The sequence below is a fragment of the Homo sapiens genome, chromosome 14 (genome assembly GCF_000001405.40).
Source record: "Homo sapiens chromosome 14, GRCh38.p14 Primary Assembly".
Classification (NCBI taxonomy): Eukaryota; Metazoa; Chordata; class Mammalia; order Primates; family Hominidae; genus Homo; species Homo sapiens.
The window spans coordinates 40,697,412-40,718,379 of NC_000014.9; the positions used below are offsets into that span (position 1 = coordinate 40,697,412).

Consider the following 20,968-nt stretch of genomic DNA (forward strand, 5'->3'; position numbering starts at 1 on the left):
GCATGCTGTAGTGAGTCACTCTGTAGTGAGCATGCTTCACTAAGAATATATGGGTGTGGCCTGCACTTTCCTAAATCACTTTGTTAAGACTACATATTATGGCCCATGGCTCCCAGTCAAACAAAGATATATCTATCAGGCATGACATTCCAAGGACCCAGAGATTATTTCTCAGATGCCAAGGAAAATGCTAGAACTTTCTTCAGGCAAGGCCAAATATTTTACTGCACAGACAGCACAGACATTTGCAGAATGCCTACTATCATTTTTCTGCCACAAGTAACTATAATATGACAGATAATAAATTCCCCCCAAACTAGTAAACATAGAGTAACATAAAATATTAAGAAATCTTTTCTATTTTCTTTCCATAAAAAAAATGGATAAACTCTAATCCCATTAGTCTATTTCAAATTCATGGACAAAGAACCTTTCAAATAAGTTTAATGTAATCCCATATAATTCTTTAGAATTGTTTTTTCCTGTTTTTACAGAAGTTTAATGTAATCCCATGTAATTCTTTAGAATTGTTTTTTCCTGTTTTTACAGAATAGGTAAATATGGCCATAGTTGATAAATGCTTTGTTTTTTACATTATAGAACCTTTTCTCTTCCACAAATGAAAAAAAAAATTCAAGTAATGTAAATATAATATTTGGAGATACAGCAACAACTACCAGAAGTGACATCTAAAATAATTAAATATGAGGAGTTAGCTGTGGGGAGTAAGGCTAGAGAGTGGGGAAGAATGAGGGAAGAGTTAGATAGGGACTATTGTTCTTTTTTATGTCTTGTTAAAAGAAAATCTTTAAACAAATTAAATTGGACAGGGTGTAATTGAAACAAGGATGATTCACAAATCAAGCAGCCCTCAGAACCAGAAAGGTTCAGAGAGCTCCCTTCCACCACACGGGCAGGCAGCATTTATAGACAGAAAATGAAAAGTAAGATGCAGAAACTACTTGTTAGGTTACAGATTGAAGTTTGCCTTATTTGAACATGCTCAGATTATTTGACAGCCTGTAAATGGTGGAAGCTCAGCTGCTGTGATTGGCTGAGACTCAGCTGGTTGTTAAACACGTTTGCTCCTAAGTTAGGCTTTTGGTTTCTTTACGTATTCAGTTAGGTTGCAGTTTTTTTTTTTTTTTTGGTGGGGACTTAAGGTACAGAGGCATCCTCAGTCAAAATTGAGTTTAATAGTCATTTGATATAATATATTTTTTTGCCATTAGCATTATTTTGATTTAACAGTCTGACGTCCTAAGTTGCAAATATTACCTTTGTAGTTCATAAAGCAGGTTTTGTATATAACGGTAAGAGAGTCCCATATGTATAAAGGTTCAAAACAGTTAAAAAATCAGTGGGCTTTTAAAAAAATGTTTTCTCAAATACTTTATGCACACCTACTTACTTATTATACAAATCTATTAGAACAAGTGTATTCAGCTCAAATAATGTCTAAACTTTTATATATAGTAGTTAAAGAAGATAACTATTTTCAGTTATAGTTTAGTATAGCTAATTATAGTAATTAGGTTATACTACTTTATTTGGATAATGAATTCAAATATATTATAAATGATACATAAATACTGAATTAAAATGCTCTGTCAAAATTTATTAAAACTCAACTCGATGGTACCATGGTATTTGAAAGCTTCTGCCAAAGAGTCTATGATGACAGCCAAGTTAAATGAAAATCACGTTTGACCTTTTGTTGCAAACATAAAAGCATTTTCTCTTTGAAAATGTAATAGCATTTAAATACGTTAGTATTGACATACGTTTGGTTTATTTTCCATTTATTTTCTAGGACTGACTGATAGTATTTTCCTTTGGAAGATCCTTTTATATTCTGTCTCTATGAAAGAAGTGTTTTCAATGAAATAAGGTAATATATAAATTTTTTACATTTTTTCGTACAGTAACTATAGATTTCTTTAGATTCTTACATTATATATTTTTCCCAGATTGTATTCATTTAATGCTCGTAAAAATCACATAGAATCAAATGGTTATTTGTGAATATAATAATTGTTCTAAATTGTAGTTAGTAATTGAGCTTCTATTGGTTATAAGTCATTATGTAAGATACCACAAAAACTCAACTACAAAGTATATGGCATCTCCAGTGTCACAGAGGAGATTTCAGTTGAGTAAGGATGATGAAAGTAATAGTAATGACTACAAGAGAATATATCATAGGAGAAATACTAACAGTGATATCGGAATGAAAACAGCATTGCAAAATTCTAACTGTGTCAGTGAAAGAGATATGATGTAACCAACTCCATCTTGCTTCTAACCTCCAAGCTGTCCTCGTTCATTCCTGGGTGTAAGCTAAAATAACTTTAGGAGTGACTTCTTTTATAGTTTAAAACAAAGATAACAACAGCCCTCTCCCAAAACAAACCTAGCCATTTGCCTGGAGACTAGACTGCCTTTGTAGGACTAACAAATTATCCACAAGATTAGAAATTAGGGTTTAGGAATCATGCAGCTGGAGGCTCCAAGATTCCGACCCTCCCTAAACTGCTCCAAAGATCACTGCTTGAGATACTTTGTAGACCCCGCACTTGGTGGATCAGCTGGCACCAGCCAGAAAGATTAACTGGCTCATCTTATCTTATGGCTTCCACTCAGGAACTGACTCCGCACAGGAGGACAACTTCAATTTCCTATGATTTCATCTCCTACCTAACAAATCAGGACTCCTGGCTCATTGGCTTCCCCCCACGCACCAAGTTGTCCTTGAAAACGCTGATCCCGAATCCTTGGGGAGACTGATTTGAGTAATAATAAAACTCTGGTCTCCTGCACAGCCAGATTTATGTGAATTACTCTTTCTCTATTGCAATTTCTTTATCTTGATAAATTGACTCTGTCTAGACAGCAGGCAAAATGAATCCATTGGGCGATTACAGGAAGACAGAAGGAAATTGTATTATCTATAGCAAGAGAATTAAGACATGTCTTTTCAAAGCTGACTGCAACATTTTGGTTTCTTAAAAACTGAGAATTGTGGTAGAAAATTTTATTTCTGCCAAATTTAAAGTTTAGTGGTGGGTTGTTAAGTACTGGGGTAGGTAGAGATGTTATCTTACAGTATTAAAGTCTCAGCAGAATAAGAATTGTGTCCACACAGGGGTTTTGTTTACAGAGAGATTGCAAGGCCAGTGAAATTTCTGAGAAGAGTGGTGGCCTTTCTAGAGGCTGGAGGAGGAGAAAATGTCTTCTCCCTGGTCGTTCAGCCTAGTGTTGGATACGGGAGTCAGACTGGGGTGAGAAGAGCATTTATGTAGTGGAGGAGGGTCAAAGTGAAGCTAAGAAATTTGTTACGTATGAAAAATTGGCTAAATGAGTAAATAAGTTGATGTGAACTAAATGTCTCATTATCAGAGCCTGTATTTACAACTACAGAAACTGGAAGAATAAAATGTACCCTTTGGGATTGAATTAGAATTGGGAATATTAGTATGAACTTGTGGTTTTCAAGTTATGGTCCAATGAACAGATAGATAGAGAAATAGGTATAGACCTAAAGATGTGCACTTCTATTTATTCATACAGTACATAAAAATTTTCTAGCTTTGTGCACTAAAACAGTCTAGGAGCAGTAACATCCCAAGAGTAGTAAGCACACTACCACATATAGCACATGTATCTTCTCTTCTAAATATATTTTTCCATAAACAAACCAGGGCATCTTGGACAAAATGTCTGGTTGGAGGACTGAAGCAGTAAAAATACAAGATGAGTCTGAGGCATCTTGTTTCTCCAGGACAGAAGAAAGTTCCCAGGAAAGTTTTCCATGTCAGAAAGACATAGAAACCAGCTGTCATTATCCAAATCTTGGACAATTTAACCTGAAAATGAGGAAATTTTATAAAATATAAAATCATAAATTAATTAAAAATTGATATATTTAAAAATAATAAAGGATGCAATATTATATAATTTCACAGTGTTTTTCCATAAAGTAAGAAATTACAAATGAGAAATAAGAATAACTCTCTAAAGAAAAAGCATGTCAGAATCCATCTTAATGAAGTAATCATAATGAACTTCATCAGTACTGGGACAGTTTGAAACTTAACATCTGTTAGGATGCAATAGGAAGGCAGCATAACTGCTGTGATATTCCTGCCAAATAAACACACTGTGAATCAAATTAGAAAAAGCATCAAACACGTTTAAATGGATTAGCACTCTACAAAATAAACGGCCTGTAATCTTAAAAAGGTCATGAAAGTCAAGAAAAGAATGGGGAATGTTCCAGGTTGACGGGAACTAAAAGACATGATAACTAAATGCAATATGGAATTATGAATTTAATTATTTTAGACTTCTGAAAATTTGTGATATTTGTAAGAGGTCTGTGGATTACATATAATAATGTCTCATTCCTACCTTAATTTTAAATGACTGTGATAAGGGTAAGAATGTGAATGTCTTATATAGAGAAAATAAAAAGTAATATATTCGGAAGGTGACAGAACATCAGGGCAGCAACGAAATTGAAAATGTTTTATTCTCATGACCACAGTATAAATTTGAGCTTGCTTCAACATTTAATAAATAAATAGAAATTTAATACATAAAACATAATGTCCCAAGTCTTGGAGGTGAGAAAAATATGTATCTTAGCAATTTTATTAAAATTCCTAATACAATATACTAGAAATGTAAAATCAATCTCACGTTGAAGAGTAAAAAAACATAGCCAACCATGCTCAATATTTATTCTGGTCTTGTTGCTGAAACAGGTCTGAACTGGTTCTCAAGTATAGTCAATTCTATCTATCCAGAATACCTTACTTCCACTTCTCAATTTCCAATATCATCACTCTTATTCAGGATCTTATTAGTGCACTTTATATAGTAGTATTATAGCTAACGATATTTTAAATATCTCTCTTTATTTAATCTTTTTGTTATAAAATTTATAATTTTATGAAATAAATCTAGCAATAGCTTGGCTCTTTTCATACTACCAGAAAAAAATATAAAATTTTCCACAATTGCTTTATATCATCATAGTCTGGAACCTCACTATCTAGACTAGTTTTTACTTCCTACTTACAAGAAAATTATTTCTACTTGAATTATTTGCTGATTACCAAATGTGGATCTATTTTATTTCATTACATATTTTTTTCTGTCAAAATCTACTTAATTTTCATAACTAGTTCATCTTTAATATTCTTCACTAAAATATTTTTCAAGTCAGGTGAATATGGTTTCTTATTTCTCCAAACTCATCAACCAAATCACTTCTCTGATACTTAAATAAATAAGCCTTGCATATTAGATGTATGTATACAGGTATTTTCTTCTTGTTATATCTATATTCCTCATGAAGAAGGATTCTAGTTTATCCTCTTCAGTATTTAGCAAAAACAACAACATCAAAACGTGCTCATAATCTGAGCCCACCACTCCTGGCATCCAACCCACTCCAGCAGCTGAGCCCCTACCTGCACTGATGAAACACCCCAGAGACTGAGGATCATTCCACTTGCATTTTTTTCTTCAACAAATCCATGCCACAGCTTTCACAAGCAACCACAGCATAGGCCGCTGAAGTACTTGCAGATAGTACTGACATTGACAATAGCTAAAGAAATCATATGTAGAGTACACTCTGGTACCCACCCGCAACCAAAGCCAAAGTAACCTACCCAACTGACACTATTGGACATATCTACAGAAAAATGTATTTCCCTATGAAAGCTAAGTTATTCTATAAAATTAAAAGAAGCACCTGTTCCATCAGGTGTACAGCTATCAATTTAGAAACAAAAGAAACATAAAAAGGCATGGAAATGTGATGCCTCCAAAGGAATACAATAATTATCTAGTAACAGACCCGAAGATAAGAAAATCTATAAAATACCTGAAAAGGAATCCAAAATAATGTTTTAAGTAAGCTCAGTGAGATACAAGAGAACACAGATAAAAAAACAATATCTGTAAAACAGTATATGATGTGAATGAAAAATCCAACACAGGTTGATATTATAAAAAAGAACCAAACAAAAATCTGGGAATTAATATTCCCCTTCTTATAACTCCACTAGGCAGTGCCCCACTGGGGACTCTATATGGGGGCTCCAAGCTTTTATGCTCTGCTTCCTGTTTAAATATAAATTCCAACTTTACATTATTTCTTTGCTTCCATATCGGAGTGTAGGTTGTTAGAAGCAACCAGAACACATGTTGATGTGTTTGATGCTTAGAAATTTTTTCTGCCAGACACTCTGTATTATCACTCTGAGATTCAAACTTCCACAGATCCCTAGGTCATGAACATAATGCAGCCAAGTTCTTTGCTAAGGCATAACCCATGTGGCCTTTGTTCCAGTTCCATATAAGTTCCTCATTTCCATCTGAGACCTTTTCAGACTGGACTTCACTGTCTGTATCACTATTGCCATTTTGGTCCCATCAATTTAACCATTCTTTAAGATCTAAACTTTCCCTTATCTTCCTGTCTTCTTCGGAGCCCTCCAAATTCTTTCAAAATCTGCCTATTATCCACTTCCAAAGCTGCTTCCACATTTTCAGGTGTCCTTATGGTAAGACCCTGTTCCTGTTAATAATTTTCTATATTAGGCTGTTCTAATATCGCATCAAAGTAATACCTGAGGCCGGATAATGTATAAAAAAAGAGGTTTAATTGGCTCACAGTTCTGCAGGCAGTATAAGCCTGGCACCAGCATCAGCTCAGCTTCTGGGAAGGCCTCAGGGTGCTTTTACTCATGGCAGAAGATGTAAAAGGAGCAGACATGTCACATGGTAAAAGCAGGAACAAGAGCTAGTGTGGCATGGTGCCACACACTTAAACAACCAGATCTTATAAGACTCACTCACTATTGTGAGGAAAGCACCAAGCTCCATGAGGATTCTGTCCCCATGACTCAAACACCTCCCATTAAGACACCCCACCTCCAACATTGGGGACTACATTTCAACATGAGATTTGGATGATGCCAGATATCCAAACTATATCAATAATGTTTTTCTCTTCATTACAAATTGAACTAAATTTTAATGAGTCAATAATTAGATCTAATCCAGACATTTTTTGTGGAAGTAATTGACATCTATTGAAAACTGTCCTTAAAATTAAAGTTTTATACCTGCCTTAAAAACGTGGCTTGAACATGGGTTATACTTCTCATTTTATGATTAGCTGTGACATTTATCAACTTAATATGATATTAAAAATTGTGATACAATACAAATGAGAACATATTTTAACTCTTGAAAACATCAATTATTTTTACAATAAAAACTGATGCTATTATTAACTTTTACACAGAATTTAAAATTAATTGCTGAACACTACAAATTAGCTTCAAAACACTATTTATTTTTGTAAAAGATGCTTCAAAATAGTATTGAATTAATAAATGTACAATATAAGGAATGTGAAAAATTATTGTAGCATATATAACAGTACCATCCAACAGTAATACAATGCAAACCAGATTTGTAATTTCAAGTTTTATAGTAGCCACAGTTTAATAAAATTAAAGTGAAATTAATTTTAATATTATATTTTATTTAAATAACTATACCCCAAATATTTTCATTTTCACATTTAATCAATATAGAATCATTGTTGTGATGTTATTCTCATAAAGCCTTTAAAAACATGTGTACACTTTACAATTGTAGCACATCTCAATTTGGACTAGTTCTATTTTGAGTATTCAATAATGACATGTGGCCAATACCACTGCATTGAATAATTCAGATATAAAATGCAGATCCCTAAAGTCTCAGCTACAAAGCTTGGAAATTCTAAGTAGTAAAATTTAGATCCAATGCTGGATTAGTTTATTTTCTCACTGTTATAAAGATACTACCTAAGAATGGGTAATTCATAAAGAAAAGGGGTTTAATTGACTCACAGTTCCACTTGGCTGGGGAGGCCTCAGGAAAGTTACAGTCATGGAGGAAGCTGAAGGAGATGCAAATACCTTCTTAACAAGGTGGCAGGAGTGAGAGAAACAGAGGAAACTGCCACTTCTAAAACCATCAGATCTTGTGAGAAGTCAATCACTGTCACAAAAACAGCATGGGGGAAACCACCCCCAAGATCCAATCACCTTCCCCCAGGTCTCTCTTTGGACACATGGGGATTGCAATTTGGATTACAAATTGAGATTTGGATGGGGACACAGAGACAAACCATATCATTCTTCCCCTGGTTCTTCCCAACTCTCATGTCCTTTTCACATTTAATAGCCAATCATGTCTCCCAACAGCCCCCTAAAGTATTAACTCATTCTTGCATCAACCCAAAAGTCCAATTCAAAAGTCTCATCTGAGACAAGTCAAGTCTCTTCCACTTATGAGCCTGTAAAATCAAAAGCAAGTTAATTACTTTCAATATACAATGAGGGTACAAGCATTGGATAAATGCTCCCATTTCAAATGTGAAATTGGCCAAAACAAAGGGGCCACAGGCCTTATGCCAGTCCAAAACCCAACAGGGCAGTCATTAAATCTTAAAATTCCAAATTCTCCTTTGAATCCATGTCTCACATTCAGGACACACTGAAGCAAGGGGGCACCCCCACAGCCCTGGGCAGCCCTGCCCCTGTGACTCTGCAGGGTACAGCCCCTGTGGTTGCTTTCATGGGCTCGTGTTGAGTGCTTATGGCTTTCTCAAGTGCATGGTGCAAGCTGTCAGTGGATCTACATTACTGGGCTCTGGAAGATGGTGGTCTTCTTCTTACAGCTCCACTAAGCAGTGCCCCAGTGGGGACTCTGTGTAGAGGCTCCAACCCCACATTTCCTTTACACACTACCCTAGCAGAGGTTTTCCATAAGGGCTCCACCACTGCAGCAGACTTCTGCCTGAACATCAAGACATTTTCATACATCCTCCAAAATCTAGGGAGAGGTTCCCAAACTTCAACTCTTAACTCCTGTGCACCTGCAGGCACAAAGCCATGTGGAAGCTGCCAAGGCTTGGGGCTTGAACCCTCTGAAACAAGCCACAGCTTTAGCTGGAGTGGCTGAAATGCAGGGTGCTATGCCCTCGGGCTGCACAGAGCAGCGGAGCCTTGGGCTCAGCCTATGACATCATTTTTTTTTCCTAGGCCTCTGCACTTGTGATAGGAGGGACTGTCTTAAAGAACTTTGACATGCCCTGGAGCCATTTTCCCCATTTTCTTGGCTAGTAAGATTTGGCTTCATATATATATATATATATATATAAAGCTTATATATGAAGCCATCTATATCTATGAAGAAAGCTTTTATTGGGGAAAATATTTTATTTTCCTGTGATGTTGATAAATTTACATACAAATCTGAAAATCCTCTGAACTAAGAAAGCATCACTGACTTTGACACTGCTGGACAAAACTTATTTGACATTATATACATGGTATAGATTGTCTTCTTACTACTAAAAATATTCAGTCATTTTACATATTTTTATATTTAATTTATTAAAAATTTTTCCCAAAACTCCATATGAAATGGCTTTTAAGTCTCCCCAAGTGACTTCTGTTGAAATAGAAGAAAACTACTTTTTTTAAATTCTTTCGATTATGGAAAGAACTCATTCAATTTCTCAGCCTCTCAACCTTGTTAATGCACATATGGTAAGTGGAATTAGAGAATTATGTGGTTTTGCAGTTTATTTATATATGAAGAATATATATGAAGGGTTTATATATATAAAGAATAAATATACACACACATTTATGTACACACACGTGTGGATGTGTATAACAACACTAATAAGATTTTTAGATGCATATTATTTCTGAGACTATTGAATTAAATACTTTATAAACACATATTATTGCATTTAAGCCTTATACCTTCCTATGATGGAGATGATATCACTATTCATATTTCACAGAGGAAACACCTTGCTACAAAAATTATCATGCAGAGAGGAAAAGATAGAAGTTTAGTTTGAATCCCTTCATTATTATACCAAACACTTTACTTTTATCACTAACAGTGAATCTTTCAGCAGAAATCTTATAAGCCAGAAGAGATTGGGGGACTAAATCCAGTATAAATAAAGGAAAGAAATTTCAATCAAGAATTTTATATTCAGCCAAACTAAACTTCATAAGCCCAGGAGAAATAAGATCCTTTTCAGACAAACAAATGCTAAGGTAATTTATTATCAACAGACTTGCATTATGAGAAGCCCTTAAGAGACTAAACAAGAAAACAATAAGCCTATTACCAGCCACCACAAAAACACACTTAAGTACACAGACCATTGACACTATAAAACAACTACACAACCAAGTCTGCATAACAATCAGCTAGCAACATGATACCAGAATCAAATCCACACATATCAATATTAACCTTGAATGTAAATGGACTAAACACTACAAATAAAAGTCACAGAGTGGCAAGGTGGATACAGAAACAACACCCAACTATATGCTGTCTTGAAGAGACCAATCTAATGTGTAATGACACCCATAGACTCAAAATAAAGGAATGGAGAATAACCTGTCAACCACACAGAAAACAAACTATAGCAGGTGTTGCTGTTCTAATTTAAGATGAAACAGACTTTAAATCAACAACAGTCAAAGAAGACAAAGATGGGCATTACATAAGGGTTCAATGCAAGAAGACTTAACTATCCTAAATATATATGCACTGAACATTGGAGCATCCAGATTCATAAAACAAATTCTTCAAGACCTAAGAAGAGACTTAGATAACCACGCAATAACAGTGAGACACTTCAGCACCCCACTGACATTATTGGACAGATAATCGAGGAAGAAAACAATGACATTTAGGACTTGGGAACATTCAGGAATTTGACACTTGAACAAATGGACCTAACGGACATCTAGAGAACACTCCACCCTACTGCAACACAATATACATTCTTCTTATCTGCATATGGCAAATACTCTAAAATTGACCAGATGATCAGGAATAAAGCTATTCCCAACAAATTCAAAAAAATGAAATTATACAAACCACTCTCTTAGACTACATACAATGAAAGTAGAAATCAATACTAAGAAGGTCTCTCAAAACCATATGATTACATGATGATTAAAAAAACTGCTTCTGAAGGACTTTTGGGTAAGCAATAAAATCAAGGCAGAAATCAAGAAATTATTTGAAGTGAATTAAAGCAAAGATATAACATAACCAGAATCTTTGGGACACAGTGAAATCATTGTTGAAAGTTTATAGTGCTAAACACCCACATCAAAAAGAAAGATCTGAAATTAACAAGGTAGCATCACACCTAGAGGTACTAGAAAAAAAAGAGCAAACTGACTGAAAAGCTAGTAGAAGAAAAGATATAACCAATATAAGAGTTGAACTGCTTGAAATGGAGACATGAAAAATCATACAAAATATCAATGAAACCCAAAGCTGTTTCTTGAAAAGAATATATAAGATTGATAGAGCACTACCTAGATTAACAGAAAAGAGAAGGAATCCAAATAATAATAATCAGAAATGACAAAGGGAACATTACCACTGATCCCACAGGAAAAAAAAAACCCTCAGAGACTACTGTAAACATTTCTATTCACACAAATGAAAAAAATTTTCAAGAAATAGACAAATTCCTGAAAATGTTCAACTTGCCAAGACTGAACCATGAAGAAATTGAATTCATGAATAGATCAATAATGAGATTCAAAATTGAATTAGTTAAAAGAAACCTACTTATAAAAAATAGCCCTGGAGCAGATGGATTCACAGCTGAATTCTACCAGGTGTACAAAGAAGAGTTAGTACTAATCTTCCTGAAATTATTCCCAAAAATTGAGGAAGAGGGACTCCTCCCTAACTCATTCTAGGAAGCCAGCATTACTCTGATATCAAGCCTGGAAGAGACATAACAAAAATAAAAAATAAAATTTCAGGTGGATAAAGAAACAAGACCCAACTTATACTGTCTTCAAGAGACCAGTCTAACAATATTGATGATAAACATAGGTGCAAAAATTCTCACAAAATACAAGCAAATCAAATTTATCAGCAGATCAGAAACTAATCCACTATAATCACATAAGGTTTATTCCTGAGATGCAAGGTTGGCTCAACATATGATAATCAATAAATGTGATTTATCACATAAACAGGACTAAAAAAAATCACATGAACATCTCAATAGCTGATAAAATGTGACATCCCTTGATGTTAAAAAACTATCAACAAGTTAACATCAAACCAACATAAGTTAAATCAATAAGAGCCATCTATCTCACACCTAAAACCAACATTGTATAGAACAGGCAAAAGCTTGAAGCATTCCCCTTGAGAATTAGAATAAGACAAGGATGCTGACTCTCACAACTCCTATTCAAGTACTGGAAGGGTAGAACTTGAAGTCCCAGGCATAGCAATAAGGCAAGAGAAAGAAATTAAAGTCATCCAAATAAGAAGAGAATAAGTCAAACTACTTGTCTTCACAGACACTATGATTTCATACCTAGGAAACCCCATAGTCTATACCCAAAATCTCCTAGGTCTAATAAATAACTTCAGCAAAGTTTTAGAATACAAAATCAATGTGCAAAAATTGGTAGCATTTCTATATACCAACAAAGTTCAAGATGAGAGCAAAATCAAGAATATTATCCTATTCACAATACACACACACCCACACACACATACACAAAAACACACACAAATACCTAGGAACACAGCTAACCAAGGAAGTGAAAGATGTCTGCAATGATAATTACAAAACAGAAAACAGTGCAGAAATAAATCAGAGATGACACAAACAAATGGAAAAACATTTCCTGCTCATGGATGGAAATGATCTACATTATTACAATGTCCATACTGCACAAAACAATTTAAAGATTAAATGTTATTTCTATCAAACTACCAAGGACATTTTTTATAGAGTTAGAAAAAACTATTCTAAAATGTCTTTGGAAGCTAAAAAGTATCTAAATAGCCAAAACAATTTGAAGCAAAAATAACAAAGCTGAAGGCATCACATTACTGACTATAAACTATACTACAAGGCTACAGTAACCAACACAGGACAGTCTGGTATAAAAACAGACACAGACCAATGAAACAGAATAGAGAACCCAGAAGTACAGCCACATACCTACAACCATCTGATCTGCAACAAGGTCGACAAAAACAAGCAACAGGGAAAGGACTCCCTATCCAATAAATGGTGGCAAGATAACTGGATAGCCATATGCAAAAGATTGAAACTGGACTCCTTCCTTTCACCATAGAAAAAGTCAAGCCAAGATGGATTAAAGACTTAAATGTAAAATGTAAAACTATAAAAACCCTACAAGTAAACTAATATGGTTTGGATTTATGTCCCTGCCCAAATCTCATGTTGAATTGTAATCCCCAGTGTTGGAGGAGGGACCTGGTGGGAGGTCTTTGGATCATAGGGGTGGATTTTACCTTTGTGCTTATGATAGTGAGTGAGTTGTCATGAGATCTGGTTGCTTGAAAGTGTTTAACACCTGTTATTTCACTCTTTCTCCTTCTCTGGCCGTGTAAGACATGCCTGCTTCCCCTTTGCCTTCTGCCATGATTTTAAGTTTTCTGAGGCCTCCCTAGCCATGCTTCCTGTGCAGTCTGTGAAACTGTGAGTCAATTAAACCTCACTTTTATTTAAATAAATTACCCTGTCATGGTTAGTTCTTTATAGCAATGTTGAGAATGGACTAATACAAAAACCTGGGAAATACAATTCTGGAGATTGGCCCTGGCAAAGATTTCATGATATAAGTGCCAAATGTAACTGCAGCACAAGCAAAAATTGACAAATGGAACCTAATTAAGCTAAAAGGATGGCTGGACACAGTGGCTCACGCCTGTCATCCCAGCACTTTGGGAGGCTGAGGCAGGTGGATCACAAAGTCAGGAGATCAAGACCATCCTGGCTAACACAGTGAAACCCCATGTCTACTAAAAATACAAAAAATTAGCCAGGCGTGGTGGCGGGCACCTGTAGTCCTAGCTACTCGGGAGGCTGAGGCAGGAGAATGGCAAGAACCCAGGAGGCAGAGCTTGCAGTGAGCTGAGATCACACCACTGCACTCCAGCCTGGGCGACAGAGCGACACTCGGTCTCAAAAAACAACAACAACAACACAAAGAAAAAAGTCTTCTGCACAGCAAATAAGGCTATCACTTGAGTAAACAGAAAACCTACAGAATGAGAAAACATATTTTCAAACTATGTATCCAACAAAAATCTAATATCCAGAATCTATGAAGAACTTAATCAAATCAGCAATTGAAAAAACATACATTCCTATTAAAAAATGAGCAAACGATATGAACAGACCCTTGTGCAAAGAGTAAATGCACATGGCAAAGAAACATACAAAAAAATGCTTAACATCACTGATCATTAGAGAAATGGAAATAAAAAACCATAGTGAGATACTATTTCACACCAGTCTAAATGGCTAATATTAAGAAGTCAAAAAATAATAGATGCAGGCGAGGTTGTGGGGAAAAAGAATGCTTATGCATTGCTGGTGGGAATGGAAATTAGTTAAGGCACTTTGGGAAGCAGTTTGGAGTTTCTCAAAGAACTTAAAACAGAACTACCATTTGACCAAGCAATCCCATTACCTGGTTTTCACTCAATAAATAGAAATATTTTTGCCATAAATACACGTGTATGCATATGTTCATTTCAGCACTATTCACAATAGCAAAGACATGGAATCAACCTAAATGCCCATGAATGGTGGGCTGGTTAAAGAAAATTTTGTACACATACACCATGGAATACAACGTAGCCATAAAAAATGAATGGGATCATGTCCCCTGGAGCAAAGTTGATACAGTTGTAGTACATTATCATAAGCAAATTAACAAAGAAATCAAAAACCAAATACCGCATGCTCTCACATAAGGGGAGCTAAACATTCAGTACACATGAGCACAATGAAGGGTACAATAGACACTGGAGCCTACTTGAGGGTGGAGGATGGGAGGAGAGTGAGGATTGAAAAACTACCTATCAGGTACTATGCTTATTACCTTGGTGATGAAATAATCTGTAAACCGAACCCCCATGACCTGCTATTTATTCATATCACAAACCGGTACATGTATCCCCAAACCTAAAATGAAAGTTTAAAAATAAAAAATAGAAAATTAAAATAATAAAAAATAAAAACATCAAAATAGTTGCTTATATCTGGCAAGACTGAGACAAATGAAATCGCTAATGTTTGTCATTTTTAAGCAATACTAATGCCAATTTTTGTTAATTACTGAATATTATATGCAAATGATCCACTTCAACTTTGGATAGTGTTCATTGCTAGAAAAAGAAAAGTTAAAGGAGAAAAGTTCGCTGGGCATGGTGGATCACTTGAGCCCAGGAGTTTGAGACCTGCCTGGCCAACATAGTGACATCCTGTCTCTAGGAAAAATACAAAAATTAGCCAGGCATGGTGGCGCATGCCTGTAGTCCCAGCTACTCAGGAGGCTGAAGTTAATGGATTGCTTGAGCCCGGGAGGCAGGGGTTGCTGTGAGTCTAGATTGCACCACTGCATTCCAGTCAAGGTGACAGAGTGAGAGCCTATCTCAATAAAAAAAGAAAAAGAAAGTTTAGGGCTTTGGCTGTTGAGCTGTATTTTTAAAGATTTATTTACTTAAAAGAAAGAGATGAGGGAAAATATTCTAGTAACAGCAAATAACTTACCTAGAAATATATAGTTGGAAATACAAGTAACTATGTGAAAAAAACTAATACTTTCTAAGGGAACTAACACAAGACCTCACTAAATGAAGAGATAAACATATTGTAAGATTAAAATTTTGAAGTGCTATAAAGAGGTTAAAATTAGTTTTTATTTTGTAATAAAGGTATAACTGTTAACATTTTAATGAGAGTATTTTTATTTGAAAATTGAAAATATTTTATGTTTACTCAAAAAAGTTAATATAATAACAAATTTCATAACTTAAGGATGCTATGTTCATACTTCGTGTATTAGCCAGGGTTCTACAGTGAAACAAAACCAATGGGTGTGTATATATATCTATATGAAGCCATTTATTATAAGGAATTAACTCACACAATTACGAGGCTGGCAAGTCTCAATATCTGTGGGATGAGCTGGCAAGCTAGAGACCCAGAAGAGTTGATGATGTGGCTACTGTCTGGGTCCAAAGGCCTGCGCACTAGGAAAGGCAATGGCATACTTCGAGTCTGAAGGCTGGTTGGCTTGACAGCCAGGAATGTTCACGGCTTCAGTTTCAGTCCAAAGGCAAGAAAAAAGTTAATGTTGCAGCTTGAAGGCAGTGAGGCAGGAGGAATTCTTTCTCATTTGGGGGAAGATCAGCCTTTTAGCCTATTCAGACCTTCAGCTGATTTGATGAGGCCCACTCGCATTAGGAAGGGCAACCTGCTTTATTCAGTCTATTGATTTAAATGTTAATCCAATCTAAAAATACCCCTGATGACACAGCAAGGATAATGTTTGACTAAAGGTCTAGGCACTACACATCCTATACAAGTTGACACACAAAATTAACTATTGCACTGCAAAAATAAGTTTATAATATAAATTGTATATTACACAATATATTAAAACAGTAAAATAATTAATAGTGTTGTATTTATCTCAAAGTTGAATGATAATTGAAAGACTAAATAAATCACAAAAATACATATTGCATACATGTCTGTGTGTATGTTCACATATAGATGTGTTTCTTTCTGTATTTACAGTCATGTACCATATAACAATATTTCAAACCACATATACAACAATTGTCCCATAAGATTATAACATCATAGTTTTACTGCATCTTTTTTATGTTTATATACACAACTGCTTACTATTGTGTTACAATTGCCTACAGAATTCCATGAAATAACATACTGTATGGGTTTGTAGCTCAGAAGCAATAGGCTATACCTTATAGCCTAAGTATGTAGCAAGCATACCATTTAGGTTTATGTAAGCACACTATTATGTTTGCACAACAAAGTCACCTAATGATTCCTTACTCAGAACATATCTCCATCATTATGTGATGCGTGACTGTATATAAAATGTTTGATAATTAAATATACATACCAATACATGCAAATAAAATTTTGGGAGCAGCGTACTTTAATTAAAAAAAGAAAAGTTTGAACTGGGTTGGTGTTTTTTGTTCTACCATTGATCCCTTGAAAATGGTTTGCTTATCCACTGGAAAAAGGGTCATAAAACTAGTGAAACTATTTAAGAGAGCTATTACACACTCTGAGCCCAATAAGAGCATACTCAGGGCACAAAACTGACAAAATAACAAATATTGATATATAACATCTGGCTTCAAATACTCCCCTTGCTTAACATGCAGAATATTGGAAAGCTGAGGAATTTTAGAAAGAACACCTATTATATCCATTTGTGTTCTTTTGAGAGTTATTGGGCATAGGAAGTTGGTGGATGGTTTAATAAGCAGCAAAGGCAGGCAAATGCAAGCCAAGATGAGAGAGCAAGAACATCTGGGTTATCAGTATCTCCCAGATGCATTTTATGCAGAAATGTAAAGCAAAGAATTAGTGCCCCCTATTGTTTTAACTTCTACTGACAATCTTTATTAATAAATTATTATAGAACCTGGGAATTTTTAATCTATGCATCCGAAGAGAACCATTTATAAATTTTTAAACATAAAAAGAATAATAGTAAATAAGTCATTTATTAATATAAAATATTTTGTTGCTATTGAAGTTTTTAAGTGGAAGTTAAGATATCTAAAAGTATAATATTTAATACATGAGAAAATAAATTCTAAGACAATCTTACTGTATAATTTACCTAGTAAGTAATTACTAGATACTTAGGTTGTCATCAATTTTCTCTATAATAAATGTAATAAATAAGTGGTGGAGTATATAGACATGCACACACACATATACTTACATGTGTATAAATATAAAATTATTTGTATCTGTGAATTTCCTAAGTTAACTACCTGAACGTGGAACTAATGAGTAAAATTATATCACCAATTAATACATTTAAAAATTTTTCTTCATAAAAATAACACAAATTACAATGGGTTGTTAGCTGAAATGAAATTTATTTTGATTAGTTGCTATTGCCTATTACTTCTTCTGTGCTAATTATTTATTTGAGTTTTTTTCTTAATTTGGTTTTCTTATGCTTTACAAATACTCATGCCTATAAATGATTCTGAGCCTTTTTCCCCTAACTCATGTTTAATCACAGGCAATTGAATGTACTTTAATCCCACTCAGTATTATATCTAAGAAGAAATTTTAGTATTCCTAATAAAATAAATTTATTCAAAGTTTCTTATAAAGTTTTAAATATTATAATTATTATCTTAAAAATTTGTAATTATTATTATCTTAATTAAAAAACAGAACCAACAAAGACTTGCTCCATGCAATGTCAACAAATGTTATCTCATTAAAAATAACCCTTGGGCATCCCAATCCTTTTTGTCATACATTCTGTAAAAACACCTGTTTCACTCAGCATTTAAAAGAGAAGGCATGAATAACAAATTGAATTAATCTCAAATGCTTTAAAATGTAATTTTAAAGATACAGCTTAACATTTTTCATGTTATAAGTGACATTCTTTCACATTCCATGAAATAGGAAAACTAACCCCAAACACTCACAATGTTAAAATGGCTTTTAAGATTATTAATATTTGACACTTAGTGAGAATTTTTGGTTCATATACATATATAGTTTAAATTATATTGTGTTAATAAGTATAACAAAATAATTATAAATTTTACTATGTTTTATGTTTTATAGTAAATGTTATGATGGCACACTATTTCAAGTCTGAATAGAAAGCAAAATAAGAGTATCATTAATATAGCTTAGCTGTGTCCCCACCCAAATCTCATCTTGAATTCCCACATATTGTGGGAGGGACCCAATAAGAGGTCATTGAATCATAGGGGTGGATCTCCTCTGTGCTATTCTCATTATAGTAAATAAGTCTCATGAGATCTGATGGTTTTAAAAATAAGTAGCTTTCCAGCACAAGTTCTCTTCTCTTGTCTTCTGCCATGTGAGTGAGATGTGCCTTTCACCTTCTGCCATCATTGTGAGGCCTCCGTAGCCATGTGGAACTGTAAGTCCAATAAACCTCTTACTTTTGTAAATAGCCTAGTATTGGGTATTTCTTTATGAAGCAGCATGAAAATGGACTAATACATTTAATTGGTACCAGTGGAGTGGGGCATTAGGGAAAAGATGAAAAGATATCTGAAAATGTGAAAATAACTTTGAAACTGGGTAACAAGGAGTGGTTGGAACAGTTTGGAGGGCTCAGAAGACAACAGGAAAGTGTGGGAATGGTTGGAACTCCCTAGAGACTTGTGGAATGGCTTTGACCAAAATGCTGATAATCATATGGACAATGAAATTCAGGTTGAGTTGGTCTCAGATGGAGATAAAAGACTTGTTGGGAACTGGAGCAAAGGTGACTCTTGTTATGTTTTAGCAAAGAGACTGGCAGCATTTTGCCTCTGCCCTAGGCATTTGTGGAACTTTGAACTTGAGAGAGGTGATTTGGGGTATCTGGCAGAAGAAATTTCTAAGTAGCAAAGCATTCAAGAGGTGACTTGGTGCTATTAAAAACATTCCATTCGATAAGTGAAGCAGAGGATAAAAGTTCAGAAAATTTGCAGCCTGACAATGCAATAAAAAAGAAAAACCCATTTTCTGAGAAGAAATTCAAGCTGGGTGCAGATATTTGAACAAGTAATGAGAAGCTGAATGTTAATCACAAAGACGACTGGGAAAATGTCTCTAGGATATGCCAGAGACCTTTGTGGCAAACCCTCCGATTACAGACCCAGAGGTGTAGGAGGAGAAAATGGTTTCATGGGCCTGCCCTAGGGTCCCCATGCTGTGTGCAGCCTAGGGACTTGGAGCCCTGCATCCCAGTTGCTCCAGCCATGGCTGAAATGGACGAAAATAGAGCTTGGGTAGTGGCTTCAGAGGGTGCAAGCCCCAAGTCTTGGCAGCTTCCACATGATGTTGAGCCTGCAAGTGCACAGAAGACATGAGCTGTGGTTTGGAAACCTCCGCCTAGATTTCAGAAGATGTATGGAAATGCCTGGATACCCAGGCAGAAGTTTGCTGCAGGGTTGGGGCCCTCATAGAGAATCTTTGCTAGGGAAGTGCATAAGGGAGATATGGGGTCAGAGCCCCCCACACAGAATCCTTACTGGGGCACTGCCTAGTGGAGCTGTGAGAAGAGGACCACCGTCCTGCAGACCCCAGAATGGTAGATCCATCCACAGCTTGGACTGTGTGCCTGGAAAAGGTACAGACATTCAATGCCAGCCCACAAAGGCAGTTAGGAGGGAGGCTGTGCCCTTCAAAGCCACAAGGGCAGAGCTGTCCAAGACCATGGGAACCCACCTCTTGCATCAGCGTGACCTGCATGTGAGACCTGGAGTCAAAGGCGATCATTTTGGAAATTTAAGATTTGACCACCCTGCTGGATTTCAGACTTGCATGGGACCTCTAGTCCCTTTGTTTTGGCCGATTTCTCCCATTTGGAACAGCTGTATTTACCCAATGCCTCCACCCTCATTGTATCTAGGAGGTAACTAATTTGCTTTTGATTTTACAGTCTCATAGGTGGAAGGGAATTTCCCTGTCTCAGATGAGACTTTGGACTGTGGACTTTTGAGTTAATGTTGAAATGAGTTAAGACTTTGGGGGGCTATTGGGAGGGCATAATTGGCTTTGAAATATGAGGATATGAGATTTGAGGGGCCCCAGGGGCAGAATGATATGGTATGGCTTTTTCCCACCCAAATCTCATCTTCAATTCCCATATGTTGTGGGAAGGGTCCATGGGAGGTAATTGAATTATAGGGGCGGGTCTTTCCTGTGCTGTTCTTGTGATAGTGAATAAGTCTCATGAGATCTTATGGTTTTAAAAAGGGGAGTTTTCCTGCATCAGCTCTCTTC

The 20,968-nt window shown here is 35.4% G+C and overlaps 1 long non-coding RNA gene across 4 annotated transcripts in view; it reads left to right on the top strand.

The window, feature by feature from the left end:
* Positions 1–1,813: 1,813 nt before the first annotated feature.
* LOC105370467 (uncharacterized) overlaps positions 1,814–20,968 on the top strand; it is a 186,853-nt gene continuing 167,698 nt past the window's right edge. For all 4 annotated transcript variants that reach the window (XR_007064132.1, XR_007064130.1, XR_007064131.1 and 1 more), the window contains exon 1: positions 1,814–1,891. This is a non-coding gene — a long non-coding RNA (uncharacterized LOC105370467). The remainder of the gene's footprint in view (positions 1,892–20,968) is intronic.